General features: G+C 43.2%; 1 protein-coding gene and 1 pseudogene across 1 annotated transcript in view; both read left to right on the top strand.

Moving 5' to 3' along the window:
- PTPN3 (protein tyrosine phosphatase non-receptor type 3) overlaps positions 1,786 to 27,976 on the top strand; it is a 162,727-nt gene continuing 136,536 nt past the window's right edge. Inside the window, exon 1 of the mRNA XM_011518888.3 lies at positions 1,786 to 1,975. Coding sequence (XP_011517190.1) covers positions 1,930 to 1,975 — 46 coding nt within the window. The 5' untranslated portion in view covers positions 1,786 to 1,929. The remainder of the gene's footprint in view (positions 1,976 to 27,976) is intronic.
- YBX1P6 (Y-box binding protein 1 pseudogene 6) lies at positions 5,735 to 7,790 on the top strand (annotated as a pseudogene).

The following is a 27,976-nucleotide window of genomic DNA, read 5'->3' as shown; positions in this document are numbered from 1 at the left end:
GTTTCTTTTGGCTTTCCAGTTGAATCTGAGCTCAGATCAGTTACCCAATGTTGTGAACACCAAATAGCTTGGGTAACAGGGAAACTGTAGAATCATAGTCTTTGCTTAGGTCTTTGAGGAAGGTACAAGTGTCACTTTACACATCTTTCAATCAGCCAAGCCCTAATGCGTTGGTTTTGATCATGGGATCTCTCTCAGCCTGCGTCCCACTGCCCTTTCTCTGCCCTTTCTCTTCCTCTCCCACTAGACTGAACATTTTAAGAAAAGGATGCTGCTGCTCATCTCTGTGCACCCCCACCTAGCAGGAATCTAAAACATGTTAGGCAAATAAATTTGGGATATTATGAGTCATTAACAGATGTTCTCTGTGTCTGTCTCTGTCTCTGTCTCTGTCTCACTCTTACTCTCTCTCTCACACAAACACACATATACCCAATGGCTTGAACTTATATACAAACCTGGGGGGAAAGGGAAGACGGGCAGCTCCCTAAGCTGCATGAGAAAACCTGGAGTTGATTAAGTTTCTGCCATCAGGAGGATTAAGTGCCCAAGAAAGGGTTTAATTAAAGTTATAGAAAAAGATGGCCAGGTGCAGTGGCTCACGCCTGTAATCCCAGCACTTTGGGAGGCTAAGGCAGGTGGATCACAAGGTTAGGAGTTCGAGACCAGCCTGGCCAATATGGTGAAACCCCATCTCTATTAAAAATACAAAAATTAGCCAGGCGTGGTGGCATGCGCCTGTAGTCCCAGCTACTCGGGAGGATGAGGCAGGAGAATCGCTTGAACCCGGAAGGCAGAGATTGCAGTGAGCTGAGACAGTGCCGCTGCACTCCAGCCTAGGTGACAGAGCGAGACTCCATCTAGAAAGAGAGAGAGAGACAGAGAGAGAGAGAGAAAGAGAGAAAGAAAGAAAGAAAGAAAGAAAGAAAGAAAGAAAGAAAGAAAGAAAGAAAGAAAGGAAGAAAGAAAGAAAAAAAACTAATTTTGTTTTACAGATCTGAATTTTGAGCCCCAAAATTCATACTCACTACAAGTGTTTATTGAATGAATGAATGAATGAATGTGGGGGGTAGGGAGGTTCTGCAGCAGCAAGATCTTGGTGGAGCAGTCTTGGCTGCTCTCCAAGGAAAGTGGTAATTACCAAAAAGAGCATCTGCTTTTTAGTCCTTTCTTGGCCACTTATTATCTGTGGTTCCTTGAGTAGGTTACAAATTTCTTTGAACTTCAGTTTTCTGGCTTGTAAAGTGGGGATAATGATACCTGTCCTGCCCTCCTTACAATGTTATCATGAGGATCAAGTGAGATAACATATATGAAGATACTTTATATGAGATTATAATAAGGGCATGGGAATCACTCCTATCTTGTGGTCCAAGAAGCAAGAGAAAAGTGAATGAACTCAAGGATCAGAGTTCCATGGTACCCCTCTTGTCAATCAAACTGTTTTTCTAGAACTGGCAAGGAATAGCAACTAAGTTTTCCCTGGAACCACATCAGTGCTAACTGGTGGATATCAATGATCGCATTCTCAACATCAGCAAAGAACATTTCATCAGGAAGAAATTCTCGGGGCATGAAAGAGATTTATTTTCATTGTGAAATTGTCTGCCTGCTATGTGACAACAAGCTAAGCTCTGGGTGACTATTCCTGTAAGACACGTCCTGTGCTTAGCGCTGCTATTATGGGGTGAACAGACACAGCAAAGAATCAATTAAAACTCTGACACATTAAATGGAGCTCCAAGACCTGTTTCACAGGTTTCCAGAAAGGAAAATAATCATGTTACATTATACTTTGGAAGCCGATTGAGGCAAGATTTCTGAGACAAGTTCTGAGGTTTCCAAGACAGACTTTAGCTTTTCTAAATCATTTTTTAAGTGCTATGTAAAGGATTACAGCATTCAATTCTCCAGTAGTCCAACAGCATCATGGTGGAGCAAGAGGGATTATCCTGTGGGCATCCTCCGGAAAACTGTAAGTTCCTTTCAAAAACTGCATTTAAAGAAATGATGAAAATATTGCAGTGCTTACATTTATGCCCATTTTGAAGTGAAAGCCAACATTAAGGGAGGAAAATCAGAAGCATACTAAAACTGTAATTCCTTTCTATGTTATAACAGGGCTCTAATACAAAAAGAGGCAGCCATTGCATAGGAACTCCCTTTTAGGAGAAATTCCGGAATTTTAGGAAGTCTCACAAAAAGTGAATGAGAGGGCTAATGGTAGAATATGAATAAAGTTTGTGGTTATCATGGCTTAAACTACACTTCTATGACAGCAAGTGGGAACGTTAATGATAAGAACAACATGGTTTTGGCTCATTCAGATATCTGTGTAAACCATCTCTCAGTCTCATTGCCTGAATAACTTCTCTCAACCTGAACAAATAGAAGATTTTGAAGTTTGGGCAGTATATTTTCAGAAGTGCTGCCTACAAATGAGCTTCAGTGGACATAAGGAATTGAACTGGACCAAAGGAAGTCAAGTGTCAGCAATGATCATTGTTGAGGGACCAGTAAGGCTTGCCAACACAATTGGCGTGTCAGGAAGTGATCTGGAGGACTCAGCTAAGCCCCAATCTTTCAGATTAATTCAGAAGTAAAGAACTAGAAAGAAAAGACAACGTGACAGTAGAGTGTAGATGTCATAATTTCAAGCCATTTCACCAGGAGAGAGTCAGGCAGACAGAGAGAAAGAAAAGGAAACCCGGAATGGATGGACAAGACTCGACCTGCCCACTCACATGTTCAGCTTTGGTTTAGAGCAGGACATTTTCAGAGGAAATGCTCTGATGGTGCAGGAATCCGTTCAGCTAGGAAAATAAAAATGTTTGACAATTCTATTCAAGTAATATGCCCTACATCTTTTCTTTTTAAGCGTAAGAAGTTGAGGAGGGGGTTGGAAACTCCCTTTTTAGCCAAGGGTACTAGTCACTATAATTTTTTAGAAAGACTTTGGTTTTTTTCTTGTTTAAGTTGCTATGTAAATCCTTAAGGACCCCTCTATTACTTGGAAAAATACTTTTTGCACAATAATGTGTACTTGTGTTTGTTAATGCTTTCTTAATCTTTTTAGAACAGAGGCTTTGTAGGCTATTGATGGAGGCTCAGAAAATGCCAGGACCTTGGAGTCTTGGAGTCCTGCCAAGGTCCTTGGGGCTACGGAGAGGGAGCCAGGTCCATGCCCTGCCCTGCACCCTTCCCTTCCCTCAAACGCACACTCCAACCACACTGGGCTTTCATTTGCGACTTCATATTGGGGGGTGGGGGGAAGGGAGGGGCAGGGAATATTTCCACAACTTAAAGCAAACAAAAAAATTGAATATCACTAAAATATTCAATCTTCTCATTGACAGAGGGGAATTTAACTTCCCAGAGACTTACAATAAGTTCATCAAAGGCAAGGCAGCAAGAGAAGCCAGGTCTAAGGGGAACTAGTTCTACCATATCTTCTTCCTTTCCCTTTGTTCAAAGGAGTTGGCAGGGTCTCTTCTGCCTTACCTACCCCTACCCCCACTTAGCTCTTCTCATATTCAAAGCCTTACATACACCATATCTTCCCTAAGGATAAAGCTGTGTGTAACCCATCCAATCCCACAAACATTTATTGAGCACCTTTTTGCAGCCCTGTGCCACGTACTGGAGATTCACAGATGGCACAGTCCTTGCCCTTGGATACATATACAGCCTGTTATAATTAAAGGCATCGTATCATTGCGCTTTGACAAAAATTGTCTTGAATGTACTCTATTATTGTAACACAAGAGAAAGGAGGGGAAATGGTTTGATGGTTCTTCAAAATGTGAAACGGAATTACTGTGTGACCCAGCAACTCCATTTGTAGGTATATACCCAAAAGGATTGAAGATCGGTATACATGGATATGCATACACCATTCACAACGGCTAAAAGGTAGAAACAACCCAATGTCCATGAATGGATGAATGGATAAACAAGTTGTGTGATATATCAATACAGCAGACTATTACTCAGCCATAAAAAGGAATGAAGTTCTGATAAATGTGACCATGTGGATGAACCTTGAAAATATTATGTTAAGTGAAAGAAGCCAGACAAAAGGTCAAATATTATTATTATTCCATTTATATGAAATATCCAGAATAGGCAAATCCATAGAGACAGAAAGCAGATTGGTGGTTGCCAGGGGCTAAGGGAGTAGAGAATGGGGAGTGACTGCTTCATGGTACAGGGCTTCCTTTTGGGGTGGTGAAAATGCTCTGCAACTAGACAGTAGTGACGGTTGCACAACATTGTAAATGTACTAAATGTCACAAATTGTTCTGTTTAAGTGGTTAATTCTATGTTATTGAATTTCACCTTAATTTTAAAAAGAGAAAGAAAGAAAAAGAGGAAGCAGAAGGCTCTAAAGAGAATGTATGTCCAGGTGCAGTGGCTCACACCTGTAGTCTCAGCACTCTGAGAGGCCGAAGCAAGCAGATCACTTGAGGCCAGGAGTTCAAGACCAGCCTGGCCAACGTGGTGAAACCCTATCTCTAGTAAAAATCCAAAAATTAGCTGGGCATGGTGGCACGCACCTATAGTCCCAGCTACTCAGAAGGCTAAGGCACCAGAATCACTTGAACCTGGAGGCGGAGACTGCAATGAGCTGAGATCACGTGATTACACTCCAGCCTGGGCGACAGAGAGAAACTCTGTCTCAAAAAAAGAAAAAAAAAAGAGGATGTGTAAAAGCCAGAAAATAAGCTTATCAGATCAACTGAAGATCAGCTCTTGCAAGCCTGGAATGTCTTTGGACTTTACTTATCCTGGGAGAAGTGGGAGAGCTAGTAAGGATTTTTAAGCAGGAACATAACTGGATCAGGTCTATATTTTACACTGAAATTTTTGAGTGGAGGCTGACAACAGCAGGGAGGTTCCTGGACCCATGGAAACGATATGTGGAGTCTGCCGGCCAGTGAATGATCATAAAGAACGTACCAGAATATGAAATACCTGCCTGATCATGTTTCAGTTAAGTCGTTGTAATGATCTTTCACAAAATTCAAACTCAGGAATATTAACTGAGATGAGAAATACGAACCACAATTCTTTTCAAACTGATTTTTTAAATACCATAAGCCCATCTTTTCGCACATCCTACCAGCTCTGGCATCCCACAGAGCTTTTAAAGTAAAATTAACCCACTTCATCTTCCTCCAAAGATTGCTCATAAAGACCTGTCTTTGAACAAATACTTTACCAAGGAAGTAAGCCTGCTTTTTATTAGAGCAAAATGCAATCCAGAAATAGGTTTAGAAAAAGAGCTATGACCCACGATTAATACAATTATTTTTCTTAGTCTCAATTTTAGTCACTTTAGCATGTCCAAAACTACTGCACACTAACTTTGTTTGTTTGTTTGTTTGTTTGTTTGTTTGTTTTGAGACGGAGTCTCGCTCTTGTCTTCCGGGCTGGAGTGCAATGGCGTCATCTTGGCTCACTGCAACCTCGGCCTCCCGGGTTCAAGCGATTCTCCTGCCTCAGCCTCCCGAGTAGCTGGGATTACAGGCGCAAGCTACCACGCCCAGGTATTTTTTTTTTTTTTTTTTTTTGTATTTTTTTGTATTTTTAGTAGAGACGGGGTTTCACCATGTTAGTCAGGCTGGTCTCGAACTCCTGACCTCAGGCGATTCGCCCGCCTCGGCCTCCCAAAGTGCTAGGATTACAGGCGTGAGCCACCACGCCCGGCCACACTAACTTTTTAAGAGCCAAGAGTTCGATCGGTAGCGGGAGCGGAGAGCGGACCCCAGAGAGCCCTGAGCAGCCCCACCACCACCGCTGGCCTAGCTACCATCACACCCCGGGAGGAGCCGCAGCTGCCGCAGCCGGCCCCAGTCACCATCACCACAACCTTGAGCAGCGAGGCCGAGACCCAGCAGCCGCCCGCCGCTTGCCGCTCGCCGCCCCCCGCCCTCAGCGCCGGTGACACCACGCCCGGCACTACGGGCAGCGGCACAGGAAACGGTGGCCCGGGAGGCTTCACATCAGCAGCACCTGCCGGCGGGGACAAGAAGGTCATCGCAACGAAGGTTTTGGGAACAGTAAAATGGTTCAACTTAAGGAACGGATATGCTTTCATCAACAGGAATGACATCAAGGAAGATACATTTGTACCCCAGACTGCCAAAACGAAGAATAACCCCAGGAGGTACCTTCGCAGTGTAGAAATGGAGAGACTGTGGAGTTTGATGTGGTTGAAGGAGAAAAGGGTGCAGAGGCAGCACATGTTATAGGTCCTGGTGGTGTTCCAGTTCAAGGCAGTAAACATGCAGCAGACCGTAACCCTTATAGATGCTATCCACGTCGTAGGGGTCCTCCACCCAATTACCAGCAAAACTACCAGAATAGCGAGAGTGGGGGAAAGAACGAGGGATGGGAGCGTGCTCCCCAAGGCCAGGCTCAACCACGCCGGCCCTACAGCAGGTGAAGGTTCCCACCTTCCTACATGCGGAGACCCTATGGGCGTGGACCACAGTATTCCAACCCTCCTGTGCAGGGAGAAGTGATGGAGGGTGCTGACAACCAGGGTGCAGGAAAACAAGGTAGATCAGTGTGGCAGAGTATATATCAGGGATATAGACCACGATTCCGCAGGGGCCCTCCTCGCCAAAGACAGCCTAGAGAGGACGGCAATGAAGAGGATAAAGAAAATCAACGAGGTGAGACCCAAGGTCAGCAGCCACCTCAACGTCGGTACCGCCGCAACTTACCGACGCAGACACACAGAAAACCCTAAACCGGCCAGGTGCGGTGGCTCATGCCTGTAATCCCAGCACTTTGAGAGGCCGAGGCGGGCGGATCACCTGGGGTCAGGAATTCGAGACCATCCTGGCTAACAAGGTGAAACCCCGTCTCTACTAAAAATACAAAAAATTAGCCGGGCGCGGTGGCGGGCGCCTGTAGTCCCAGCTACTCGGGAGGCTGAGGCAGGAGAATGGCGTGAACCCGGGAAGCGGAGCTTGCAGTGAGCCGAGATTGCGCCACTGCAGTCCGCAGTCCGGCCTGGGCGACAGAGCGAGACTCCGTCTCAAAAAAAAAAAAAAAAAAAAAAAAAAAAATTAGCCAGGTATGGTGGTGGGCGCCTGTATGTAGTTCCAGCTACTCAGAAGGCTGAGGCAGGAGAATTGCCTGAACCCGGGAAGCGGAGGTTGCAGTGAGCCGAGATCGCGCCATTGCACTCCAGCCTGGGGGACAAGAGCGAGGCCCCGTCTCAAAAAAAAAAAAAAAAAAAAAAAAAAAACCCAGAAAAGAAAACCCTAAACCACAAGGTGGCAAAGAGACAAAAGCAGCCGATCCACCAGCTGATAATTGAGAATTAGTCCGCTCCCGAGGCTAAGCAGGGCGGGGCTGAGTAAATTCCGACTTATCATCTCTATCATCAACCGGTGTAGTCATCCAACAAGAAGAAATATGAAATTCCAGCAATAAGAAATGAACAAAAGATTGGAGCTGAAGACCTTAAGTGCTTGCTTTTTGCCCATTGACCAGATAAATAGAACTATCTGTATTATCTAAGCAGCATGGGGTTTTTATTATTTTCACCTAAAGACGCCTCTTTTTGGTAATAACAAATGAGTTTAGTTTAGTTCTTTTTTTTTTTAAAGCCTGTTTTTTTCACAATACGCCTTTAAAGATTTTTAAATTGTTTCCTATCTGGTCAAGTGGAGATGTGTAAGAACTTCATTTTTAATTTGTAATGAAAGTTTACAACTTGATTTTTTCAAAAAGTCAACAAACTGCAAGCACCTGTTAATAAGGTCTTAAATAATAATAGTAATAAAAAGAGCCAATGGGATTACTTTGTACAGAGAATAAAAATCTGAATGAAACCAGAATGAAAATCTAATCTGTTCCATACTTCCTGAAGTAGCAAATTCAATGGAACTGACCAGAACCATTAAGAATCTATCAAATCAAACTTTAAAGGGGATTCAAAATATCTCCATCTTGTAGTTAGTGTATCTGCCAGCCAGCTTCCATTTGTCTTTTGAGAGTGGCCAGCTGTACTGACAGAAAGCCCAGGACTGAGGGGTTTTCTGGACTTTCAGTGCTAAGATCGGAACATTTGGTCACCCAGTTTCACTCCCACCAAAATCCCTTCTAAAATTCTTACACATAAGACTCATTCATTTGGAAAGTGAAAATTAACAGCAGAAATGAAGAGGAAAGAGGAAAACTCAGGCATTCTTTGGTATCCATAATGTGGAACGAAATACATTCAAAGAGGTAGAACACATTTCAATTGAGTTCTCATACTCACAACTCCAAACCTGTGTCCCATTACAGTGATGTGGCTTTCAGGCAGAATGCAAGGGATTTTTTTTTTTAACCTCCAAGTCAATCACTTGGCAAATGTCTAGTGAGGTCCTACCATGTGCCAGACTGAGAATCAAGTGTTGGGATCCAGAGATGAAGATGTACCAGCCTAGCCTGGGGAGATGCTCACAGGCTAGAGGCCAAGCAGAGGGGATGTACTGGGTAACAACCATATCTCACATGATGTAATTAATATAAGTAGAGCTCCCAGCTTCTAGGAGCCTGACCATACATTATCTCATTCTCAAAACTACACCTGAAGGTAGGTGTTATTATTCTCATTTTAAAGATTAAAAATAAAACCAAAACTGAAGCCCAAAGAGGTTACAGAACTTGCCCAAGACCCCCCAGCTAATAGTGGCAGCGAGTGGGTGTAAACCAAGATTTTGAGCAAGAACCAACTGATTCCAACAGTTTTGCCTATTCTGCTATTCCCAGGACGCTTTTGGCATGATCAGGGTTAATAAGATCAAGGCCATCCAGATTTCTGACCTTAGTCCAGCTTGTCTTAGCCCTTCATCAGAGAGCACCCTATCTATACTCTGAGCTGACAGCAAAATTGCCAGGTTTTCAACATTCATGTTATGGTAGGGGCAGAATGGGGGTGGGAAAAGCTAGATATTATTGAGATATAACTAGTGGACAATTGAAAACTGCTGTTAGGGGTTAGATCGAGATGACATCTACAGAAGAAAACTTTGGAGAAAAGCTTCATGACATTGGATTTGGCAATGGTTTCTTGGATAAGACATAAAAGGCACAGGCAACAAAAGCCAAAATAGACAAATTGGGCTTTGTCAAAATGAAAAACTTTGGTGCATTAAAAGACACTTTCAACAGAGTAAAAAGGCAACTCAGAGAATGGGATAAAATATCTGCAAATCACATATCTGATAAGGCATTAATATCCAGAATTTATAGAGAACCCATAAAACTCAACAACAACAACAAAACAACCCAATTCAAAAATAGGCAAAGTACTAGAATAGACACTTCTCTAAAGAAGATATATCAATAGCCAATAAGGACATGAAAAGTTGCTAAACATTACTAATTACTGGGAAAATGCAAATCAAAACCACAATGAGATATCACTTCACACCCATTAGAATGGATATTATTTGTTTTAAACCCAGAAAATGACATATGTTAGGAAAAGGATGTGGAGAAATGAGAACCCCTGTGCACTGCTGGTGGGAATGTAAAATGATGCAGCTGCAATGGAACATAGTATAGCACTCCCTCAAGGAATTAAAAACAGAATTGCCATATGATCCAACAATTCCACTTTTGGTTATACTCCCAAAAGAATTGAAAGCAGAAAGATATATGGATACAACATGTTCATAGCAGCACCATTCACAATACCCCAAAAATAGAAGCAACCCGAGTGCCTACCAACAGATGAATAAATAACACAATATGGTATATTCATAAATGGAATAGTATTCAGCCTTAAAAAGGAAGGAAATTCTGACACATGCTTCAACATGGATGAACCTTGAAAACATGCTAAGTTAAATAAGGCAATCACAAAAGGACAAATATGATTCCACTTATGTGAGTGGTCAAGTTCAGGGAGACAGAAGATAGAATGGTGGTTGCCAAGGGTTGATGGAAGTGGGGGAATGAGGAAATGTTGTTTAATGGGTACAGAATTTTAGTTTGGGATGATAAAGTTCTGGAGATGGGTAGTGGTTAGTGGTGATGGTGGCACCACAAAATGAATGAACTCAATGCCATTGGACTATAACTTACAAATAGTTATACTAGTAATGTTATGTTATTAATATTTTGCCACAATAAAATAAGGAAAGATGTGCTAGACATGGTGGCTCGCACCTGTAATCCCAGTGCTTTGGGAGGCTGAGGCAGGAGGAATGCTTGAGGCCAGGAGTTCAAGACCAGCCTGAGCAACATAGTGAGATGCCCGTCTCTACAATAAATAAATAAATAAATAAGAAAAGATGGTATGCAGAGCATATGCATCTAGTAACTTTAAATCCCCACCCCCAACGCATTCCATTTCATATGTTTTTTAAAAATCTGTTAGATGATGTGTTGTTGTTTAATAGGTATACAGTTTCAGTTTTGCAAGATGAAGGTTCTGTGGATGGTTATTGGTGATGGTTGCACAACAATGTGAATGCGCTTGACACTATTAAACTGTACACATAAATGCTTAAGGTGGTAAACTTTATATTACGTGTATTTTGCCAATTAAAAAAAGTTTTAATTCATTAGAAGCCTAGAAAGCAAGAGCAATTGCTAGCAACCCACCAGAAATGATGAGGAGTTTCTGAGTGATAGAGAACAGATAGGAATGGACTGAAGGAGAAACAGGAATAAAGGAGCCTTTGCTGGAAATACTCACAAGAATTCCTGCTGTGAAAAAGGATTAAGGAGGAGGAGTGATTTTCCAGGAAATTAACTGGGGCACTCTCTCGGACAGTGGTTCTCAGACTTGAGTGGGCATCAGTATCACCTGAAGGGATGGTTAAAGCACAGATTGCTGTGCCCCAGCCCAGAGTTTCTGATCTAGCTGGTCTGTGGTGGAGCCTGAGAATTTGCATTTCTAATAAGTTCCCTGATGGTGCTGATGCAGCTGATTGAGAGACCAAGATTTCAGAACCACTTTGAGAAGCTGCTGGACCTGCAGCCCTTCTCCCTCCTTCATGTGTCATGAGAGACAGAGAGCAGCATCTCTCCCAGGTGGAAGTGCTGAGTATAGATACTGAAGTCCCAGGTTCCTAGCAAATTCAAGGGGTGGAAGACAAGGAATCCTCACACCAGAGAACAACTACCAACATACAGCCTGTCCTTCCCCCACGATGATGGGAGGCACTTACTTGGACCATATCTACAACAATGATAAGCTTAACAGAGATTTCTAAAGTCAAAGAAGAGTAGGCAGCCAAGAGTAGCCAAATATTTAAGGAAAGCCAACATCAGAGAAGAGCACCAGTATCAAGAAAGAAAATTAACACACAAGGAAGTAGAATTAAGATGATTAGATATGTACAACTAATACTTTCAGACTCTAGAGGTGCACATACACACACACACAAGGAAGAAGGAGGAGGAGGAGAAGGAAAAGGAAAGGCTGTTACACACACACAGAGATTTGAATTTTTTTAGACATAACATATATATATACATATATATAGAAAAGTGCACCAACATGAACAGCGCAGCTCAGTGAATGTTTGTTTACACTATATATACCCTTGACATGACCATCCTGATCAAGATAAAGAATATATCCAGCCCTCCCAAAGGCTTCTTTCCCAATTAAAAACTGCCAAAGATAAACACTATTTTGCCTTTCCTCACCATTGATCTGTTTTGCCTGTTTTTGAACCTCATATAAGTGAAATCAGAGATCGTGTACACTTTCATGTCTAGCTTCTTTGGCTCATCTATGAGATCGGTACTCTTCATTGCGCATAGCAGTAGTTTGACCTTTTTCATTGATATGTAGTATTCCATTGATGAACATAACACAGTTTATATTTTCTCTCTACTGTTAATGGACATTTGCATTGTTTCCAGTTTGGCTCTTATAAATGATGCAGCTAAGAATGTTCAAATACATGTCTTTTGCTGAACATTAGAACTCATTTGTCTTGGGTATTTGCCACGTGACATTGTTTGGACATAAGATTTCTTTTGCTAAACTTGAGTAAATACTGTCCAATAATTGACCAAAATGACTGTATCCACCATTAAAGTATGAGGATCCCAGTTTGTTCTATATCATTGCCAACACTAGATATTATAATGCTTTTAATGACAAGTGATGGGGGAGATATCATGTGCTTTTAAATTGCATTAGCCTAATGCATAATGATGTTGAACACTTTTTCATTTGCTTATTAATTATTTGGATGTCCTCCTCTGTGAAGTAATCTTTACAGTTTTTTGCCTATTTTTTTGAATTAGATGGTATTCCTAATGATTTGTAAGAGTTCTTTATATATTCTGATTATGAGTCCTCTGTCGGATATATGTGTATTGCTAATATCCCTTATCAGTCTGTGGCTTGGCTTTTCACTCTGTTAATTGTGCCTTTTGATGAATGGAAGTTATTCATTTTACTTATCTATTTTTATTGATATGCAATAGTTGTACATGTTTTAAGGGTACATATGATACTTTCATACCTGCACACAATGTGTTATGATCAAACCAGTGTAATCAGAATATCCATCACCTCAAACATTTATCTTTTATTCCAGTTGGGAACATTACAATTCTTCTAGCTATTCTGAAAAATACACAATAAACTACTGTTAACTATAACTTCCCTACTTACTATCAAAATGCTAGAACTTATTCCTTCTATTTAACTATAAGAAGTTATTCATTTTATTTTATTTTTAAATTTTTATTTATTTACTTATTTATTTAGACAGTGTCTCGCTCCGTTATCCAAGCTGGAGTGCAGTGGCACAATCTCTGCTCCCTGCAACCTCCCCGCCCCTGGCTCAAGCAATTCTCATTCTTCAGCCTCCCAAGTAGCCGGGATTACAGGCGTGCACCACTATGCCCGGCTCATTTTTGTGTTTTTAGTAGAGACAGGGTTTTGCCATGTTGGCCAGGCTGGTCTTGAACTCCTGGCCTCAAATTATCCGCCCACCTTGGCCTCCCAAAGTGCTAGGATTATAGGTGTGAGCCACCACACCCAGCCAGAAGTTATTCATTTTAATGAAGTCCAACTTATCAAGTTTTTCTCTCATGACTTATACTTTTTTGTATCCTATTTTTAAATCTTTGCTTATCTCAAGACCATGAGGATATCCTGTTATGTTGCCCTTTAGAATCTTCATTATTTTAGCCCTTTTACGTCTATGATTCATTATGACTTTTTGTGTATGGTATGAAAGATCTAGCTTTCTTTTTTTTTATGGATATCCAATTGACCCAGCACCACTTACTGAAAAGTTGATACTTTCTCCACTGACTTGCTGTAGAATATTTGTCATAAATCCAATGACCATTTATGGCTGGGATTGTTGCTGGAATCTCTATTCTATTTCCTTTGTCTACTTATTTATCCATGTACCAAACTATCTTAATTGCTATAGCTTTATAAGTTGTTATCAGATATTAGAAGTCCTCTGTTCATCTTCTTCTATTGCCTTGGCTCTTCTAGGTCCTTTGCTCTCACATAAATTTTGTTTATTTATTTATTTAGACAAGGGCTCACTCTGTCACCTACGCTGGAGTGCAGTGGCATGAACGCAGCCCACTGCAGCCTCAACCTACTGGGCTCAAGGGATCCTCCTGCCTCAGCCTCCCACATAGCTGGGACCACAGGTGTGTGCCACTATGGTCGGCTAATTTTTTGACTTTTTTTGTAGAAATCAGGTCCTACTTTGTTGCCCAGGCTGATCTCAAACTCCGGGGCTCAAGCAATCCTCCCACCTCAGCCCCACAAAGTGTTGGGATTATAGGAATGAGCCACTGCACCCAGCTTCACATATATTTTAAAATAAACTAATCATTTCCACTTTAAAAAAAAAAAAAACTTGCTGAAATTTTTATTGAGTTTGCATTAAAACTGCAGATGAATTTAAAGTAAATTAATATCTTATCAATATTGTGTCTTCTAATCCATGAACATGATTTATCCCTCAATTTATTTTAGTCTTCTTTACTTTCTCTCAGCAATGCTTTATGGTTGTCAGTGTACTGGTCTTTGAAATCTTTCATTAGATTTATTCCTAAATATTTTGTGGCTTTTGTTGTTATTGTAAATGGTATTTAAAATATTTTATTTTCTAGTTGTTTATTGCTAGTATATATAATACACATACAAATGAATTTTGTATATTGACCTTGCATTCAGTTCCTTTGCTAAATTTACTTATCAAATACTTTATAAACTTCACATTTTCTTCATATTAAAACATATAATCTGTAAATAAGTTTTATTTCTTCATTTTCAAGAGTCATAACTTTTTAAAGCCCAATGAAGTATAATGAACAAATAACAAAATTCACCAATTTTAAGTATACAGCTTAAGGAGTTTTGTCAAAGGTATACAGTCATGTAACTACCACAATCAAGCTATAGAAAATTTCTATCTCCCAAAAAGTTCTCCTAGTGCCCTTCTGCAAAAACGACTAGAGAAAAAGTCATCTTGCTAGACCCTTCCTGAACACAGAGGGAAACGCTTGAGTTAATTAGCAGGAGGCTGCAGAATATAGGTCAGCTAGGTTCTCCTGAAGAGGGAGAGTGGCAGGCCAAGATTCTCCATGAAGTTGTTTCCCAATCCTGGTTGCACATAAAACCAATGGGAGGACTCTTTTAAAATACCACTCCCTGGGCCCAGCTCTTAGAGAATCTGATTTACTTCATCTGTGATGGAGCCCTGGCATTGGGTATCTTTTAAAAGCTCCTCAAGATGATCCTCATGTGCACCCAAGGCTGAGAACTATTGGACTTTAGAGGAAGTTAATTTTTGCAGGTGGAGTTAGCTTTTTAAAATGGCAAAAAGTCTATAACAGCTAGGTGCAGTGGCTCACGCCTGTAATCCTAGCACTTTGGGAGACTGAGGTGGGAGGATCGCTTGAGCTCAGGGATTCAAGACCAGCCTGGGCAACATTGTGAAACCCCATTTCTACAAAAACATTTTTTTTTAATTATCTGGGTGTGGTGGTACACATGCCTGTAGTCCCAGCTACTCAGGAGGCTGAAGCAGAAGGATCACTTGAGCCAGAGGGGTCAAGGTTGCAGTGAGCCATGATCATGATCATGCCACTGCACCTCAGCCCAGGTGACAAAGTAATACCCTGTAAAAAATAATAAAAATAAACTGGCCAGGCAAGGTGGCTCACACCTGTAATCCCAGCACTTTGGGAGGCCAAGGTGGGCGGATCACTTAAGGCCACGAGGCCAGGAGTTTGAAACCAGCCTGGACAACACGGCAAAACCCCGTCTCTACTAAAAATACAAAAATTAGCCAGCTGTGGTAGTGCATGCCTGTAGTTCCAGCTACTCGGGAGGCAGAGGTAGGAGGATCACTTGAATCAGGGAGGCAAAGGTTGCAGTGAGCCAAGATCATGCCACTCCACTCCAGACTGGGCGACAGAGCGAGACTCCATCTCAAAAACAAAACAAAATCCAAATCAAAAAACTATATAGCTATCACAAAAGGAAATTACTTAAAAGGAAAAGAATCCATAACGATCCTATCAGTCTTGCACAGCAAATATTCTCAAGGCTTTGTCCACATGCAGACATATTTTTACACAATTATATTCATTGTGGCAATGTGACTTAGCTTTTACTTTTGCAGTTACCATTTATTATAAACTTCTTGTTTATATCCCTACACAGGGAGGCAGTTTAGGCTCATGATTCTGAGTGTGGGCTTTGGAGTTAGACAAACCTGGGTTAAAATCTCAGGCATTTCACATGAGTAGTGAGTCTTGAGCCAGCTCCTTAATGTATCTGAACTTCAGAGGCTCCAGCTGTGAGATGGGAATAATAGTACCTCCTTCATAGGTTCATTCTGAGGATGGATGTTTGTAAAGGCACAGCAGCAAAACAACTGGCACTCTTCAGGCTTTCAATGAATGGCAGCTGGGTTGGTTTGTTTGTCTGCTGGTTTTTTTTTGAGACAAGGTCCCACTCTGTTTCCCAGGCTGGTGTGCAGTGATACGATCATAGCTCACTGTAGCCTTGACCTCCTGGGCTCAAGTGATCCTCCCATTTCCATCTCCTGAGTAGCTGGGACCACAGGTGCACATCAGGCCCAGCTAACATTTTTATTTTTTGTAGAAACAAGAGTTTCTTTATGTTACCCAAGCTGGTCTTGAACTCCTGGGCTCTAGCAATCCTCCCACCTCAGCCTCCCAAAGTGCTGAGATTACAGGTGTGAGCCACCATGACCAGCAGCAGTTGTTATTGTCATTGGACCAAGTAGTTATCCACTGAAAGGAATGACATCCCAGGGAGGTCATTGCAAACAGACCAAGGGGTTGAAAGAGGAAGGAAAGAATCTCATTCATGCTCAGCAACTGGGACTCAGGGACCCTCAGGAAGAGACTTGCAGAAGGCCGCATACACTATGTGTGTGTTTGTCTGTGCATGTGTGTACACATTTATATAAGCTCTAAAGATCCGGGAGTCTAGGCATGTATGGGGTGAAGTTACCACATTTGAGCATAATTCTGGAAAAGGAGAATTCCAGAGGGTCCCCAGGTCACCTGTTTCAATGGCCACACAACATAGCAACAAGAGCCATAAAGAATGAAATGCAGAGCCCAGTTGAAGACATTCTCTTGTTTTCTCTCCTTGAGTCTTCAAAGGAGTCCTTGGGAAATATGCCTGGAGGGCTGAAACTTATTAGGAGGTCAGACTCTGAAGACGAAAGAAAAGCATTCTTGTACCAGGTGGTATGCGACTATCAAGCCATTTAATCTGACTGTTTAAAAAAATGATATAGGCTGGGCACAGTGGCTCATGCCTGTAATCCCAGCACTTTGGGAGGCCAAGGCAGGCGGACCACAAGGTCAAGAGATGGAGACCATCCTGGCTAACATGGTGAAACCCCATCTCTGCTAAAAATACAAAAAATAAGCCGGGCATGGTGGCACGTGCCTGTAGTCCCAGCTACTCGGGAGGCTGAGGCAGGAGAATCGCTTGAACCTGAGGCGGAGGTTGCTGTGAGCCAAGATCGCACCACTGCACACCAGCCTGGGCGACAAAGCGAGACTCCATCTCATTAAAAAAAAAAAAAAAGATATAAATTTATAGAGAAGCACTATTCCAGGCACTTTAATGAACGTAATTAAATAATTTAATCCTCACAACAATCCTATAAAATAGGTATTGCTATTATCCCCATTTTACAGATAAGGAAACTGAGGCATAGAACAGCTAAGTAAACTTGTCCAAGGTAACACAGTAAATGGTAGAGTCAGAACTGAAAACCCACAGATCATGTTCTTCATCACTATTGTACCCCAAGCAGGTGAAGTGGGACATATTAATTATATTATAATTAAAGTTGAATGGTCTTCATGAAGATACCATGTCATAATTTGCTCAACCATTCCCTTTTGATTTAGTATTTTCCACTTTTAACTTTAATAAACATCTCATGCATGTGGCTTTTCACTTGTGTTGAATTATCTCCTTAGGATGGTTTCCTATGAGTGGCATTCCTTGGTCTGAGGAGATAAATCACTTTATAGTTGTTATTACATGTTGTAGTGTTTTCCAAACAGGCTGCAGTTTACAATGCCACTAGCAGGTACGCGTATATTACTTTCACCACCACCTTGAGCAGTGTGGGTGGAATTCTTTGTATAAATAAATATACATTTATAAAAATATTTGTTTAGTGTAATAGCTGCAAGGTTGGATGCTACAATGTGCAGCATCAGGCGTGCTAGTCAGCTTTTGCCGTGCTTCCAGGAGGTCCTCTTTATTCGAGGCCTCTTTATTCACTGAGTCAGCTCACCTGAATCTTGGCCATCATCCTCCATCAGGCCAGGCCCTGGACTTCGAAACTGTCTGAACTTTGAGAGGTGAGGGGCCCACACTTTTGGCCTTTGGTCTATAGCCTGCACTTAATGCCACAAGACATTGGCTAGGATTTCTTTTCCACTTGACCAGATGGCTTTCCTGCAAGGAACTGTAATGATTTAGAAGCCTAGATAGCTGCCCTCCTGGTCTAGGGTAAGTCCTGAGAGTTTAACATATTCCCAGGTGCGGTTAATGCTGATGGTCTGCCGTCCACACTTTGAGTCACAAGAACCTAAGACACCTTTATTCCTTAGACAAATCAGACAGCAAATAAAGCCCAGAAAGTCCCCATTATAACTCGCTAATTCCAGCTCTGCCACTGACAGGCTCTAGCCTCTCTAAGCCTCGGTTTCCTCTCTAAGGAGAGGTACCCTCTCTAAGCCTCAGTTTCCTCATCTGTAAAATGAAGGGATAAGACTAGATGCTCCCTGAGTCCCTTCTATGATTTTCATTTCCATCTTGGAATTTGTTAGCCCATTCATATTAGTTCTAACATAATAGTCATTCTACAAATAAAAGGATGAACACAAGCACCCTTGAAAGCACTGGGAGTACCAGGATGAGCAAGCTAGACCTCGTCTTTGCTTTTGTGGAAATTCAAGTCTAGTGGGAAAGACAACTAAATCAGAGTTGGAATATAGTTTGATAAGTATTTTGGTAGAAAAACCTCAGGATGTGAGGAAGCAAATAGAAAACAGATCTCACTCAGACAAGTGGGAATCAGAGAAGGCTTCCCAAAGGGATCATTCCTAAGCTGACACCCCAAGGATGAGAGGTGTGATGCAGGTGAAGTTGGGCAAAGGAAGTGGGACATGTTGCAGGCAGAGGGAACCTTACTGAAACTGGGATGCAATAGTTCCAAACTCAAGGCCAGGCGTGGTGGCTCATGCCTGTAATCCTAGCACTTTGGGAGGCTGAGGCGGGCGGATCACCTAAGTTCGGGAGTTCGAAACCAGCCTGGGCAACATGGTGATACCTCATCTCTACAAAAAATACAAAACCTTAGCTGGGTGTGGGGGTGCGCACCTGTGGTCCCAGTTACTTGGGAGGCTGAGGTGGGAGGATTGCTTGAGCCTGGGAGGTGGAGGTTGCAGTGAGCCATGATTCCACCACTGCACTCCAGCCTGGGCGACAGAGGGAAACCCTGCCTTAAAAAAAGTTTTGAATTCAGAACATCCCCCTCTGGCTGCAACTCTTTACCCCAACCTTTCTCCAGATTGCCATCTCTTTTTTTGTTGATTCATTGTTCTCTACATTCCATACACTTGAGTGGAGGGTATACATGTCACACACTCTCCTACAGGGCAGAGAGAGACTATCAAGGTGAGTAATGCCAGGCCTCGTGCTTAAAAAGACATGTCAGCCGGCAATTCCCATACAATGTGATAACTCTAATAACAGGTGGTACTGGGTGTGGGTGTAGAGGGCGTGTGTGCAAGTGCACTCAGGAAAAAGCACTTAAGAAAATAATTGAAATTGTGTGGGCAGGATCAACAGGACTTTCGAGTCTTTGCTAGGATGGAAGAGGACTGGCTTTTGCTTAGTGACATTGTGGCCTTCTGTGGACGCACTTTGTGGCTCACCATCCCCTTACCTTAACGTACGTGAATTTAACAAACCAGGCCACGGACAGTGCTATAACTGAACAGTAGAGGGCGCAAAGAGACTGTGTGCTTGACACAAACTGTCCCACATACTTGCCAATCCAAAAGGAAACACTGTCAAGAAGGCTCTGAAAGAAAGATGAGGGAACAGTTGAAGCCCAGAGAAGGAAAGGATCACACAGCTGATCCCCAGCACAGCAAGCATGTTCCGCTAGGCGCCTGCAGTTTACTCTGTCATGCTGTCAATTTTCCAAACTCTCAATTCATATACTTCGGGATGCTCCTAGAAGCACTATTCTTTTTTCCTTTCCATTTCTTTCTTTCTTTATTTTTATTTGGGGAGGTAGGGGAGCCATGATGTAGAGGCACATTTCTGTTTATAAATCTCTTACAAATACAGTACAGTACAACACTGAGCTGTGTGCTGTCTTTCTTCCTAATCTGAAATTGGAGTCAAGTTCCCTGGGGAAAATGCAATGGCGCAGAGCATGGGCTCTAGATAAATCTAGGTAAGTTTTGCCTCTTCTTGGTATGATCTTGGAGGCATTTCTTTTTTTTTTTTTTTGAGACAGACTCTCGCTGTATCACCCAGGCTGGAGTGCAGTGGCGCCATCTCGGCTCACTGCAAGCTCCACCTCCTGGGTTCATGCCTTTCTCCTGCCTCAGCCTCCTGAGTAGCTGCGACTACAGGCACCCACCACCACGCCTGGCTAATTTTTTGTATTTTTAGTAGAGACAGGGTTTCACTGTGTTAGCCAGGATGGTCTCGATCTCCTGACCTCATGAACCTTACCAACTCGGCCTCCCAAAGTGCTGGGATTACAGGCGTGAGCCAGCGTGCCCTTGGATGCATTTCTTAATCATCTCAAGGCTCTGGATCTTAATCTGTCAAACTGGGCATTGTTCACACATATACCTCACAAGGCTGTCAGGGTTAAGTGCGTTGATGCAAATGTGCTCTTAACAGTTCCTGGCAAGGAGCACTTGCTCCATCAAAGTGTCCTCTTATTCTCAATCTCCTGGCTGAACAGCACTGGTCAGCCTCCCTGCACGGGTCAGCCTCCCTGCACCATGAGGAGTCCAGCCCTTGCAGTCAGCAAGTTTGTTTGGCTTCAAGTCCCAACGCTACCATGTCATTTACAGGCTATGTGACCTTGAGGAAGTTCCTTCTCTGCCCTGGGCCACAGTTTCCTCATTCTTCAAACAAGGCTGATAAGGTCACTGGTATTACTACTGATGCTCCTCGACCTATGATGCAGTTACATCCCAGCGAACCCATCATAAGTTGAAAACGTACTAAGTCAAAAATACATTTAATACACCTAACCTACTGAACATCATAGCTTAGCCCTGTCTCCCTTAAACATGCTTGAAACACTTACATTAGCCTACGGTTGGGCAAAATCATCTAACACAAAGCTTGTTTTATAATGAAGTATTGGTATCTCTTATTGATGTTCAGCTGAATGTGTATTGCTTTCACACCACTGTAAAGTCGAAAGTTGTAACGTGAACCCTCTGCACTACTTCTTCTGTTGCAGGAAGAATTCCTTTTGACTCAGTTCATAACACATTTTCTGATGCCCTGATATGCCTTAGGCCCAGTGCTGGGTTCTGGAGAGAAAGAGACAGATGTTTGAGGAATCTAGAGGTCAAGTGGACTAGGCAGGCTGGTGGTCATGTTACCGGAGACTATGATGAATACAAGAGAAGGAGAAGTTAGGGGGCTCCAGGAAGTCTTCCTGGAGGAAGTAAAATGTTCAGTTGGCTTTTGAAGGATGAATAGGAGTTTGCCAGACTCCTTTAAAGTATGCTTTTTCTTATTCTCAGTCTTCTGGATGAACAGCACTGGTCAGCCTCCCTGCACTGACCTTATCAGCCCTGTTTGAGGAATGAGGAAACTGTGGCCCAGGGCAGAGAAGGAACTTGCTCAAGATCATGTCCTTCTTTAAAGTCAATGGAGATGGTTTGTGGAATTATGAGCCCTGAATGGGAGGTTTGTGACACATACCAGCCAGAGCTTTACTTCAGTTGTAACCTCAGGGCCCTCAAGCCCATTACTCCAACAAGTGTTCCTCTTTTCTCCCAAACACCCCTCTGGATGGAGGCAGGGGAGTCTTGGCAGGCTGGTGAATTAAACCTGCTTTAGAAGGAAGGAAGCCTTAATTACGGTGATTGGGAGATGGCAGGAGGCACCCAGACCACACAGATCACCTAGAGGCTGGGTCACCCTGATCAGCACCTGTCCAATGGGAGCATCCTATGGCCAAAGGTTCTCTGCATCTCTCTGCCTCCAATTGGACTAGGCATGACAATCTCAGCCTCTACTCCACCTCCAGTGCAGCCACACCAGGGGCCCTCTAGCATCCCATGAAGCTGTGAACTCTGCAGGAGGTGGGTGCCATGTCTGAGTTCTTTTCTGTAACCTCAGCTCCTGGCATAGAGCCTGGCTGAGAGGACCTCACTCAGTAAATGTTTGCTGAATTGAATTGAACTGAGCCCAGAATTCTTGACTCTTTCCAGTCAATGTTTTTGTTTTCCTGTCTTGGCAGGAGCAGAGGGAACAAAGAGGTAACTGGAGAGTATGTAATGAAGGGATTACTTAGAGAGACCTGAGCAGGGTTAAAGGAAACCATAGTGAAGCACCCAGAGACCAGCCACTGCAGGAAGCCGTAACCACCCCTAGGCCTGCAGGGGAAAAGAAAGGGAGCTGGTGAAGGATTTGGCAAGAGCTGCAGCCAGGAGAGAGGACCTGCTTGACAGGCATCATGGATGCAGTCATTGCCAAACCACAGCCTGCAGGGAGTGGCCAGGAGACTCAATGTCCACCCTCTCTCTCATCCTACCCAGCTTCTGCTAGGGTCTCCCACTGATGGAACCCAATGGCAGCCAGAGGCCAAAGAAGCCCAGATGGTCCAGGCCACAGAAGGCAGCTGTGCAGGCACAGGCCAGAGTGACTAGAAGTAGAGAGCACATCTGGATGGGCAAGGGAGAACAGCCAGCACCAGAGGCTTTCCCCAAATTATGGTTTCCATCACATGGTCATCAGAACTATTTCAGGAGCTTGTTTCAAAAGCAGACTTCCTGGGCTCCAACCCAGACCTACTAAATCAAAATACCTATCTCCAAACTAGACCTAAATCAAATACCTATGAGGCTTGGGAATCCATAGTTGTAGGACATTTCCCCAGCTGATTTTAATTCACATTCATTTTTGATAACCACTACCTTGAACAGGCGCTTTGGACGGTATAGCAGTGGGTACCGTTAGAGGATCTCTGGAAGTATAGAATTACAATAATTCTTAACTTGGTTAATTCATAATTTGAACTTATAGCATCACCTCCAGGTATTGGGACCTGATGATGTTGGTTCCCCAGGCCTGGGGGACCTCAAAGGATCAGAGAACCTCAACACATTCATCCAATGTAACTGAGCATGTATTAACTTCCAAGCCCTGTGGAGAGTTCTGGCCACACAAAGGTGAATAAAAATGGTCCTTGCTTGGGATTTCCTAGGATAACTCTTAGGTCCATCTAGGGATTCTTCTGGGGCTCCAAAGATCATCCTCAACATGTGAGGATGACTTTTCAGTGCCTCTGCAAGCACCAGCTATGGCCAGGCAAAGTAACAAATCAAACCCATGGCTTCAACCACTATCTACACACTATGACACCCGAATACCTATGTCTCCTGAGTTCTGAGTATTCAGCTGCCTACGGAATATATGCTTGGAGGCCCCACAGTTCCCTCCTATCCACATGTGCCTAAGAGGACCCCTATTCCATCCCTGCTCACCTCGCAAGTCCCCTAACCTAAATGAATGGTGTCACCATCTGCCCAGTAGTTTAAGTAGAAACCTGGGAGCTCTCCCATTCTTCAGTAACCAGGTCTACCTCTCCCATCCCTTCACTTCTCTTGTTTTCCACCAGCCTGCCAGGTGGTCTTCATTGTTCCCTTTTATTAGTGCAATGACCTAGCAAGAGTCTTTGCCTTCTCCACAATCATTGTTGCCCGATGGTCTTTTAAATAAGCAAAATACAAATGTGTTACTCCCCTTCTTACAATCTTCAATGCTCCCCAGTGCCCTTGGAACCAAGTCCAGACTCCTGGTTGTAGTATACAAGCTGTGTACACCTGGCTATGCCTGAGTTTCCACCTCATTTTCTACCACTTCCCACCATCCCCCTACACACACCCTTACACCCTCACCATGGATCTTAAATGTATATGCTTGTTCACCTTCTTCCAAGAATGTTCTCCCCTTTCTGTAGCTGGTCAACTCCTCCCTGCCTGTCAAACCCATTTCAAGTATCATCTTGTCCTTGAAAGCTTCTCTAACCCACCAGACAGGATTAGTCTCCACTCCCTCAGTATCGTACTCGTACTTCTTTAATTTTTATCTCACCACCTTATAATAGTTTATCTGTCCCTTCTATTAGCCTATGATCTTTATAAGGAATGGATCAGCCATGTCTAATTGGCCTTTGTATCCCGGTGTCTGGCAGACCATCTTCCTATCATCACGAGTGAATGAGTGGGTTGGTTTATCAGTTGAATTAGTAATAGCCTCTTGCATGGAAAGGGATCTTCCAAGAGTGGACCTAGGACAGATGGCTTCATTAAATTTACTAATTTTGACAGGAGTGACATCTGGTTTCACAGCTAGTGGAGTGCACTGGACACCCCAGCAGGTTCTGTGCCGGTATAGTAATCAAGAGCAAACCCATCCCTCTAGGACTTTGTGATAGACAGGGCAGACATTGTCTTCATTAGTGATACAGTTTGGATACGTGTCCCCTGAAATCTCATGTTGAAATTTGATCCTGATTGTTGGAGGTTGGGCCCAGTGGGAGATGTCTGGGTCATGGGAGTGGATACCTCATGAATGGCTTGGTGCCTTCTCCAAGGTAACGAGTGGGTTTTCACTCTATTGGTTCACCTAAGAGCTGGTTGCTAAAAAGGGCATGGTACCCCTCTTCTCTTGCTTACTCCCTCTCTTGCCGTGTGACACATGGTCTCCTCTTCCCTTCTGCCATAAGTGAAGCCTTCCTGAGACCCTCACCAGAAGCTGAACAGATGCTGGCATCATGTTTCTTGTACAGCCTGCAGAACCATGAGCCAAAAAACCTTTTTTCTTTATAAATTACCCAGTCTCAGGTATTCCTTTATAGCAACACAAAATGGATTAACACAGTTGGGCTCTTTCGGGCTGCAAGGAAAAGACAAACTCAGGCTTCTCAGGTGATGATGTAAATGGCTATATTAAGATAGTGTTTCTTGTATGGAGAAGTATAAGACCCCCCCTGCGCTCAGCAGTAGCCCAGTACCTCTGGAGCAGCAACTCCAATGCAGGCACAGCAGGTAGATCTCATGGAGGATGGAATTAAAGTTTCTTGTGCTAGGCATGGTGGCTCATATCTATAATCCCAGCACTTTGTGAGGCTGAGGTGGGCAGATTGCTTGAGCCTGGGAGTTCAAGACCAGCCTGGGCAACATGGTGAAACCCCATCTCTACAAAAAAATTTCAAAAATTAGCTAGGCATAGTGGCATGTGCCTGTAGTCCCAGCTACTCAGTAGGCTGAAGTAGGAAGACAGCTTGGCCCCGGAAGGTTGAGGCTGCAGTGAGCAGTGACGGCACCATTGCACTTCAGCCCAGACAATATAGAGTGAGACTCTGTCAAAAAAAAAAACCTCTTGTATCTGCCAGCTCTGGCCCCAATAATGCTGCATTACAAACCACCCGAAAAATTTAGTGTCTTAAAACAACAACGTTATTTGCAGTTTGGTTCTACTTCACATTTTTTCTCATTCTTCTGGGACCAATGGTTTACTGGGCAGTCTTTTATGTCAGAAGCAGAAATATAAGCTTAACCCCACAAGCATATTTCAAGCCTCTAATTGCCTCACATCTAACATCCCATTGGCCAAAGCAAGTCACAAGGCCAAGCCCAAAGTCAAGCAGGGGGAAGTCCATCTACCTCCAGTGGAAGGAACTGCAAAGTCACATAGCAAAGAACATGGCTACAGAGAGGAGCAAAGAACTTGAGCCATTAAAACAGTCTACGCACCTACCACACTCCTCATTTTTCAGGATGGAGCTCTAGTTACCTGGTCATCTTAGAAGCAGATATCAATGACGCTATTTTGCTTCTCCTCCATACAATAAGCTCCACAAAGTCAAGGTCTTCACTGTATTCCCAGAACCTAGAACAGTAGTACATGGCATAGAGTTAGTGTTAATCAATATTTCCTGAATGAATGAAAACCCCCTCGCCACTTCTTCTTCACATTCTCACTTCCCAAGAGAAGGCCTCTGATTAGATACATTTGTTACCCTCAAATATGGCACAGACTAAGGAGTTTGGACTTCAACCAGTATGTAGGCCATGGGGAGAGCCTACATTGCAAGTTTTCAAGCAGAGGAATAGCTTATTCAAATCCATGCCTTAATAACATTAAAATGTTATCAGTATTTGGGGGGAAAAATGAGAGGAGTCTGCAGATCAATTGGGAGGCTATTTGCAAGAGCCCCAGTGAGAGACAAGAAGGTCCTGAAATAGAAAGTGGGGCTTGGGAAGGATGTGAGAAATACTGGGGGGTGCCGAATGGAGAGAACACGTCATTTCTTTGTTTGGCAAGAGAGAGGGAGATCTTGGGACATGCGGCTTGGAGTCCAGACAACTGGGTGGATAGTCATGGATAAGGAGCAGGCTTGTAGGATGGAGTTGATCTGTTAGCTTGGGGCTTGTTAAGCTTGAAGTACATGTGGAACACCCAGCTGGAGCAACAAAAATTCAGAACTGGCCCTCAAAAGAGATTTCTCATTAATATCTTAATTAGCCATTTACATCAAATATTATATTTACATATAATATTCAAACTCTTCCAAACCTGCTAGACACCCCCACTAGCTAAAGATCAAGTAAGCAGCTTGTTGCATGTTGTTTGATTTTCATAAGTCTCTGCACAGAAAGCAGAAAAAGACAAAGGCCAACATCAGGAAATCAGGATCAGAGACAAACACATGACTATGTCCAGGAGTAAACAGCTTTCTTTTTTCAGAAGTTTAAACCCACCAAAGACAACCCCTAACTTTCATACACTCAGTTAACAAGTATTTACTAGTCCATTCTCTGGGTTAGGCACACTAAGGATTAGAGACCTGGGGATGAGTAAGGAAAAGCCCCTGCCCTCAAAGAGCTTGGACTCAGTGAGGAAGGAAAGGTTATGTACTTAGGTAAGTGCAACCAGGTGTTCTGGGGGGGAACAGGATAAATGTCTAGGGGAGCTCGTAACAGGGGCTAGTCAATTTCATCTGACCAGAGGGTGGGAGATAGCAACAGACATCAAAGACTCTGGAGAGTTCTAAGTGGATGGGATGGACAAGAAAGAACATTCCACGCCGGATGTGGTGGCTCATGCCAGTAATCCCAGCACTTTGGGAGGCCAAGGCAGGAGGATCATTTGAGGCCAGGAGTTTGAGACCAGCCTGGGAAACACAGCAGGACTTTGTCTCTACTAAAAAAAAAAGAAATTTAAGATAAATTAGCCAGATGTGGTACACATACCTGTAGTCCCAGCTACTCAGGAGTCTGAGGTGGGAGAATTGCTTAGACCCAGGAGGTTGAGGCTGCAGTGAGCCGTGTTTGTGCCACTGCACCCCAGTCTGGGCAACAGAGTGAGACCCTGTTTCAATAATAATTAATGAATTAAGAACATTTCAGATATAATACACAGCTTGAGCCAGGGCTAGTCAAAGATGTGAACCAGCCTACTGCATTAGTGTTTTGGAAGGGCTGACACTTAGGGGCAGGAGGAGGGAGGGAAAAGGACCAGGGGAAGGAAAGAACAAGGTAATGCAGGGTTCAGAGCACACAGTGCTTTAAACACCATGTGCAGGAATAAGAAATGTGTCCACGGTTTCCCTTCTCTGAAACATTTTGTGTAGGAGGTCCCAAAGGCCTGTCTCTCCCTGATTAAGGAGGAACAAGGTACCTCCTAAAGAACCCTGAATAATTACCTAAAAATAGATAAACAATTTTAATCTCCTTTATGTCATACTTATGATTAAAGTCTTAAAAATCCTGTGCTTGGTGTTTCCGGTTTCAATGTGTGGTCACACACCTTACCTCATGTAGTCTTCATGGCATTCAGGAAGCAGGTGTTACCAAATTTTGTTTGACAGATGAGACACTGAGATTTAGGAGTCCCTAACAAACATTTCTTGACGTAAAAATGAAAGCTGTCTTTTAAAAAGCTTTAAAGATTAGTGTGATAATGTTTAACTGAGTAGGTGTGTGTTCTTCTCAGGAGTGAGAAAAGTGTGTTTGGCTGCCAGATGGCTTTTGGAGACTTGTGTTGGTTAGGCCAGCAAAAATGCCCTCCAATCTGTGGACCAGCTGCACCAGCTGCACCCAGGAGCTTCTTAATAATGTAGAGTGTGAGTCTCCCCCTCCAGAGGTTTTCAGATTTGGTAGGTCAGGGGTGAGA

This window comes from Homo sapiens, chromosome 9 (genome assembly GCF_000001405.40).
Source record: "Homo sapiens chromosome 9, GRCh38.p14 Primary Assembly".
In the NCBI taxonomy this organism is placed as follows: Eukaryota; Metazoa; Chordata; class Mammalia; order Primates; family Hominidae; genus Homo; species Homo sapiens.
The sequence above is the reverse complement of the archived record's forward strand: the minus strand, read 5'-3'. Positions and strand labels throughout refer to the sequence as shown.